This window comes from Homo sapiens, chromosome 20, assembly GCF_000001405.40.
Source record: "Homo sapiens chromosome 20, GRCh38.p14 Primary Assembly".
Lineage (NCBI taxonomy): Eukaryota > Metazoa > Chordata > Mammalia > Primates > Hominidae > Homo > Homo sapiens.
Genome location: NC_000020.11, coordinates 58,909,896 through 58,917,496, shown reverse-complemented (window position 1 = coordinate 58,917,496; position 7,601 = coordinate 58,909,896). Strand labels below are relative to the sequence as shown.

At 42.1% G+C, this 7,601-nt stretch overlaps 1 protein-coding gene across 33 annotated transcripts in view; it reads right to left on the bottom strand.

Annotated features, from left to right (window-relative positions):
* Positions 6,305–7,601, bottom strand: part of GNAS (GNAS complex locus) — a 71,445-nt gene continuing 70,148 nt past the window's right edge. For 29 of the 33 annotated variants that reach the window (NM_016592.5, XM_047440113.1, NM_001410912.1 and 26 more), the window contains 3 exons: positions 7,416–7,546; positions 7,096–7,163; positions 6,305–6,814 (listed from right to left, as the gene is read on the bottom strand). Coding sequence is in view for 31 of the 33 variants with exons in the window: in XM_047440113.1 (XP_047296069.1) it covers positions 6,668–6,814; positions 7,096–7,163; positions 7,416–7,546 (346 nt within the window). In the remaining 2 variants the exon portion in view is untranslated. The remainder of the gene's footprint in view (positions 6,815–7,095; positions 7,164–7,415; positions 7,547–7,601) is intronic. The other 4 variants (NM_001309861.2, NM_001309840.2, NM_080426.4 and 1 more) reach the window with 1 other exon arrangement.

Genomic DNA, 7,601 nt, shown 5'->3' with positions numbered 1-7,601 from the left:
TTTTGCTTCTCCCCTTCCAATTCTAGGTCTCTCATTGCTTTCTTTTGCCTAATTGAATTGGCTTATTCATCTCATACAATGATAAAGAGAGTGATGATGTGAGGCATCCTTGTGTTTCTTGTTTCTTATTCCTGACATTAGTGGAAAAGCTTTTAGAAGCTCCTCATTAATTAAAATGTTGACTTTTGGAGATTTTATTTATATACATGATATATACTGTACTAAGTATATATAGATATGTGGTATATATAGAGAGAGTCTTTATATTAGAAAAGCATCCATTCATTACTATTTTGTTGGATTTCTAAAATATGAATCAGTATTAAATTTTGGCATATATTACTGTATTTGTTCATATTGAACAAACCTTGAATTCCTAGAATAAATCTTACCAGGCATGATGTATTATTTTTAATGTAATATGGAATTATGTTTGCTTATATTTTAAAATATTTATATTGATATTCATAAGTGAAATTAATCTGTAATTTTATTTTTGGGTGCAATCTTTGGCATGTTTTGGAATCAGTGGTATACTTTATAAAAATAATTTTGAGGTTTTCCTTTTATTATGTTATGGTCTGGAATAATATAAGTAGCACAGGGATTATTTGACTTTTAAAGGTTTAATATAATTCCCCTGTGAAACCACCTGGGCCTGGTGCCTTTTTCCTTTTCCTCATTAAAAAAAAAAATATATATATATAATACATGTACTAAAAAGTTCCAAATCCTAAGTGTACAGTCAAATGAATTTTCTCAAATGGGATATATTTGTTTAACCAGCATTTAGATCAAGAATAGAAACTTGCTAGCACCCCAGAAGTTTCCCTCATGTTTCCTTCTTGTCATTAGCTTCCCATCCCAGCGAGAGTCTGGAGCCTTTTTGTCATGGAGGCCTCTCACTGTGCTTTGTGTTTTTCTATGGTAACTGGTCAGCTTAGATTTATGATGTCTCTGCTGGGGTCAATTTTGGTAAGAAGTATTTTTTTGGATGATTTTCTATTTCATCTAGGCTTTCTAACTTATTTACGTAGAATTATGCAAATTGTTCTCTTATGACTTGAAAGGGTTTTATTCCCCCTAATATCTTCCCTAAGCCTTAAAACTACAGGCATTGGATATGTTTTTTTCAGATGTTCCGTCAAGGTGCATACAACAGGAAATTATAAATCCCTCTCAACCGGGCGCAGTGGCTCACGCCTGGAATCCCAGCACTTTGGGAGGCCGAGGTGGGTGGATCACCTGGGGTCAGGAGTTTGAGACCAGCCTGACCAATATAGTGAAACCTCAACTCTACTAAAGATACAAAATTAGCTGGGCGTGGTGGCGCATGCCTGTAATTCCAGCTCCTTGGGAGGCTGAGGCAGAAGAATTGCTTGAACCCAGGAGGCGGAGGTTCCAGTGACTGAAGATTGTGCCATTGCACTCCAGCCTGGGCAACAAGAGCGAAACTCCATCTCAAAAATAAAAATAAAAATAAAAAATAAAATCCCTATCTATGTGTGTATGCATAATAGTGTTATTGAAAAGATACAGCCAGGTTCAGTGGCTCATGCCTGTAATCGCAGTCCTTTGGGAGGCTGAGGTGGGTGGATCACTTGAGGTCAGGAGTTTGAGACCAGCCTGGCCAACGTGGTGAAACCCCATCTCTACTAAAAATACAAAAAATTAGCTGCGCGTGGCAGTGGGCATCTGTCGTCCCAGCTACTCTGGAGGCTGAGGCAGAAGAATTGCTTAAACCTGGGAAGTAGAGGTTGCAGCATACTAAGATCACGCCACTGCACTTCAGCCTGGGCAACAGAGTGAGACTCTGTCTAAAAAGACAGAAGAAGGAAGGAAGGAAAGGAAGGGAGGGAGGGAGGGAGGGGAGGGGAGGAAGGAGAGAAGGAGGGAGGGATACTTTTCTATCTGTTACTTTTACTTTTCGAAGTACGCATATATAGCTGGGTATCTATGTGTATTTCACATGGTGAAGCATGAATGAAGAGGCCTCTATGAAACACTGACAAAAAGAGGACAAAAGAGATTAGTTTGGGTTGTCTCTCCCTTCCTCTTCTGCCTTCAGCTGTTCTGTGATACTGTCTTGCAACCATGAGAGAGAAGCCAAGAGAATTGTGGACACATTAGTCCTGCCATTGATGAGCTGCTGAAATAACAGGAACCACCTACCTCTAGAATTCTTGATAAGTGGATATAAACTTCTGTTTGTCCGTGCCACTCTGGGTCAGGATTCTGTTACTTGCAGCTGAATGCATTCTTAACTGATACGGTAAATAAAATAGGCAAAATGAGAAGACTTGGTGTTCGTAGCATATGCATGCATTTTTTAATGTGGGAAAATTATCCTAGAGATGCAAAGTCCTCCAGCTCTGAAATAGGAACCTGTGTAACAATTACTTAAATTAAGTGCTTATTGCAATGACCTTTTTAGTGTAACCTTTATTAAAAAGCATAATTTGCTTAAATTATTCACAATGCTTTAGATATGATTTACCTTTTTCATGTTTGAGCTAACTACTGCACAATGGGATAGGACCTGTTGTACAAATGATGGGATGGTTTTTAATAGGGCTTTGAAAGGATTAAATGAGATCATCCATATACAGAGTGTAGAACAGTACCTGGCACATAGTAAAGTCCTCCAAAAATGTTTATTATTATTATTATTATTATTATTGAGACAGAGTCTCGCTCTGTCACCAGGCTGGAGTGCAGTGGCACGATCTCAGCTCACTGCAACCTCTGCCTCCCAGAGGCAGATTCTCCTTGCCTCCCGATTCTCCTTGCCTCAGCCTCCTGAGTAGCTGGGACTACAGGCACCTGCCACCACGCCTGACTAATTTTTTGTATTTTTAGTAAAGACAGGGTTTTACCATGTTGGCCAGGATGGTCTCGAACTCCTGACCTCAGGTGATCTGCCCGCCTCGGACTCCCAAAGTGCTGGGATTACAGGTGTGAGCCACCGCACCTGGCCATTAATTATGTTTTAATAACAATTTTAAATAATGATGTTAGCTATTAGTACTTGATGGCTGGCTGCTTCTCATCCTTCACATTCTCAGAAGAAAATGTACTACATCAGAGAGGCCCTCCCTAGCTGTTCCATCTAAAGTGAAATCCCTCCTCAAATATCTCCCATTCCCCACTGCCTGCATCCTGCTTATTGCTTCAGAGATTTTGTCACCATCTGTAATTCTTTTTATTATTTATTTAGTAAGTGTGTGTCTCTCTCGCTAGAACATGAACCCCATGAGATCAGGATTCCCACTGGCTGGCATGGATCCCATAGTCTCTATGTATTTATTGAGTGAAAAGATGACCAAAGCCATCCAAGAAAGTACTATAATAAGAGGATGCCATGGTCTACATAGAAGGGCTATGCAGATGTGGCCATTTTGGGAGGCATAATTTTGTGCACATTTAAGTAAAAGTGGAGGTAAATAAAAATTCTGTCCAATTCTAGACCCTTCTCATACTGTGAAGGGCCCTAATGGTTTATTATTATCATGTTCAATCCAAAAGGTCAATGAATAGTCATTTATAATATTTGGTTTACACATCTCTACAAAGTGTGGTGCAAATCGCTACCTTTAGAAAAATAGGTTGCTTTGCACTTTAATAGAGATTTAAACGTCAGATTAAATTTTTTTTTTTTTTTTTTGAGATGGACTCTTGCTCTGTTGCCCAGGCTGGAGTGCAGTGGCGCGATCTCAGCTCACTGCAAACTCTGCCTCCCGGGTTCACGCCATTCTCCTGCCTCAGCCTCCTGAGTAGCTGGGACTACAGGTGCCCGCCACCACACCCGGCTAATTTTTTGTATTTTTAGTAGAGAGGGGGTTTCACCCTGTTGGCCAGGATGGTCTCCATCTCCTGACCTCGTGATCCGCCCACCTCGGCCTCCCAAAGTGCTGGGATTACAGGCATTCAGATTAAAAAAATCTTTTTTTTTAAAATGGCTTCTTGTAATCAAAGATTTAAATGAAAGTCTTTATAATTTTTTGTTTTTTGAATATCCTAAAATTTAGATTTGAAAATAGCTCTGTAGAAGTTTTGCTTGGCACCAGGGTCAGAGGGAAAAGGGAAACAAAAATGTTTTAAATAGCAGCAATGAAGCCTAACATAGGGAAGCAAGTCTCAAACGCAACGGGGTGACTGGTGGGGACAAAGCCCTGACCTGGTAGGGAGGCAGGAGTATGGCCAGTGCCACGGTCTGTGGGAAGAGGCCCCACTCACCCACCTGGCTGTGGAATCCCATGGTGACCTGCAGGATTTTCGATGGGGGTCACAGGTCATGGACTCCTGATAACTGACATAATGGGAAGAACACCAGGAGACCTTTTTCTCTTTTCTCCTGCATCTTCCAGGACAACAGTATCTTGTAGGGACCAAGCAGTGGCCTTTGGCTACTTGAGTTTGAAGCGCATCTTCCCTGCTCACTGGAGACGTCTCTTGGGGTCTCTCTGGGCCTCTTTTACTCATTGTCAAAATAGCAGCTGAACCTATCCCATTGGGTAATGGCTAGCACTAGTAGATACCTGATAACTGTGACTTTTGTGACCCTTCTTCTAGAAGATACCATGAAGTCTCTGTCAGTTATGACCAACAAGGTGGGGTTCTGTGGTATCATTTTCCTTGGCATCTCTGGCCTGGGAATTTTGTGTTTTCTAATTTTGATGGATATGTGGCTAGAGCTGTGACAATCTCATGTGGATTATGCTAAGAAGGTTCCAGAATTTCTATGTAAAAGGGACATACAGGGAGCCATCTTGGAAGAGGAGCTAGGGGCTGGAGTTCAACCTTGATTTTCACTGAGCACAGCCTTTACCTGGATGAATGTTTGTGTGGCACGCTGGTCTTGTGGTTGCACTTGATAGCCACTGTCCAGGTTTTATGTGTGTTTATTTGGGGTGCTTTGGAGGATTATGGGAACTTGTGGGCTAGTCTTTCAGCTGTATTTGCATAGCAAGCCCCGATTTTTACTTGGATTTTATATTTGGGGGGCTTTTGAGGGCTTTGTACTAAAAATTGCATAGCAAGAACATGTGGACTGAATGTTACGTGAAAGTTGGATGGAGATGCAGGTATTTGCTACTTTTCTGCACCCCCGTGGGGCTCATCGCTCACCTCTGGTGAGCTACACTATATGATTAATTTGGGTGAGAGTAATTTGATCTGGAAACTAGAATAGGAAGTGGATTTGGGACCTGGATTACAGAATGAACTTGAAGTCCCATTTGGCCAGCTTCAGAGGGCACCATCGTTGATGCTGATCACTTCCTCCCACCCTTCCTGGAAGCCACCCAGGAAGTGACCACATATGAGACTACACCTTGGGGGATAAGCGTAGGGGTGAAAGTCTAGGGAACCCACAGGACCTCAGAAATAAGCCACACTTCAACCCGTGAGTGTGGACCCCCATCCCCACTCCCAATTATGGTGAATATTTATGAGTGATGTCCCACATATCCCCAGAGGCTTATTATTTGTATTTAAGTTGCATGCTTATATACTGTGCCCATTTTTCTGATGGTTTTGCTTATTAATTCATAAGAACTCTTTGCTTATTAGGGAAGTAAACCCTTTGTTAAATTTCTACCTGACCCAGGCCCTTCCCCCATTCAAATTTTACGTGTGATTTTCGTTTTTATAGTCATCCCCAACCCCGTTATGGCCTTTAGGTCTTAGGTTATGCTGCAGAGAGGCCCTTTAAAAACCCAAGGTTTTAATTATAAAATAGCCACTTTAAAAAGTACCTCTTTTATTTAGATGTATGTGATCAACTTATGTCAAATTCATTTTGGTGTGTGCAATGAGGTAGGGATCCAGCCTCAATTTTCCCCAAATGGCTACACCATTTCTTGAATAACCCCATTGATTGGAAACACTGTGCTCCTCTATTTCTCCTCCACATAATTTAGTCCCTATCTTATCTTATAGCAAAACATACACTACTTTTCTTGGGAAGCCTGGGTCAGCAGGCAAACTGTGTGATGACGTAACGGTGTGAGTTGTTGGTAGAATCTTTGGATAGGATGGCAATGATCAAAATGCAGAGGTGACTGACTGGGGCATAGTGGTTCACTATGGGGTGAAATTTAGGAGGAACAGGAGTGGACTTTTCCTATTGTCTGCAAATTGTTTCAAGACACCTACAGATTAGGGTCACCAGAAAACATACAGTGGTGAGATTTTATACCCACTTCACCTTGGGGCCTCCCAACTTTTGACCTAAGGACCAAGTCAAAACCATGAATGACGGGAATTTGCTCAGAACCACAAATAACTCACGGGAGTCCCATCATTCTTTGCTCACATTTAATTTTTATTTTGATTTTTTTTAATGCTGCACAACACAATATTTATTTCATTTGTTTCTTTTATTTCATTTTATTTGTTTGCTGCTGCTGTTTTATTTATTTTTACTGAAAGTGAGAGGGAACTTTTGTGGCCTTTTTTCCTTTTTCTGTAGGCCGCCTTAAGCTTTCTAAATTTGGAACATCTAAGCAAGCTGAAGGGAAAAGGGGGTTTCGCAAAATCACTCGGGGGAAGGGAAAGGTTGCTTTGTTAATCATGCCCTATGGTGGGTGATTAACTGCTTGTACAATTACGTTTCACTTTTAATTAATTGTGCTTAAGGCTTTAATTAAATTTGGGGGTTCCCTTCTTAGAGCAGCTCGTACTGACGAAGGTGCATGCGCTGAATGATGTCACGGCAGTCGTTGAACACACGGCGGATGTTCTCAGTGTCCACAGCGCAGGTGAAATGAGGGTAGCAGTAGTGACGCCCATCTCCACTGGCAGTGCTGATCCTCTGCGGGCACAAACAAGGGGACTTGTCAGTGACACCCTCGCCAGGAACCACCCTATCCCTGATGGGGACACCTACCAGGGACGGCTGTCAGCCAGCCTCTGATGTCATATGAAAACAAAAGCAAAAAGAGGGGCGCAAAGAGCTCAAATCCACACTGGATGTGCGTGAACTAAAACCATGGAACTGGGTAGCTGAACCCCTGAATTTGGAATTAAGTAAATTTACATCCATGAGAAAAAGAGGAGGAACAAGAGAGGAAACTAAAGACAGGCTCGACTCACCAGAAACTCATCTCGAATGAAGTACTTGGCCCGGGTCACGCGTGGGTCCTCTCCGGGCTCGGGAGTAGCTATATAAAAAGGGAATACATATTAATGTAATTTAAAATTCAAGCAGAGCTGGGGTGCTAGCATCTCTGTAGCTCCTGAAGTCTTCAAAACCCTGATTTTTCCATATGAGAATTAGTGGGAGTGCGTTTTTCTTGCTTCTCTTATAGATCCTTTATGGTTTGGTGGTGGGAGGGGGATGGGGGTTTTCAGCCTGACCGTTTGAAAAAGAACCACCGCAATGAACAGCCAGCAAGAGTGGAAGCCATACACACCATCCTCAGGAGTAGTGTAGCGAGCAAATTCTGGAAAGTAGTCCTCAATCTTCGATTTCCCAGCAAGGACTTTCTCAGCGAGCAGATCTTGCTTGTTGAGGAACAGGATCACAGAGATGGTGCGCAGCCATCTACAAGAAGGGAGGCCGTGTGAATGCTTGGGAGAAGCGCGCTTTCGGCCAGGGG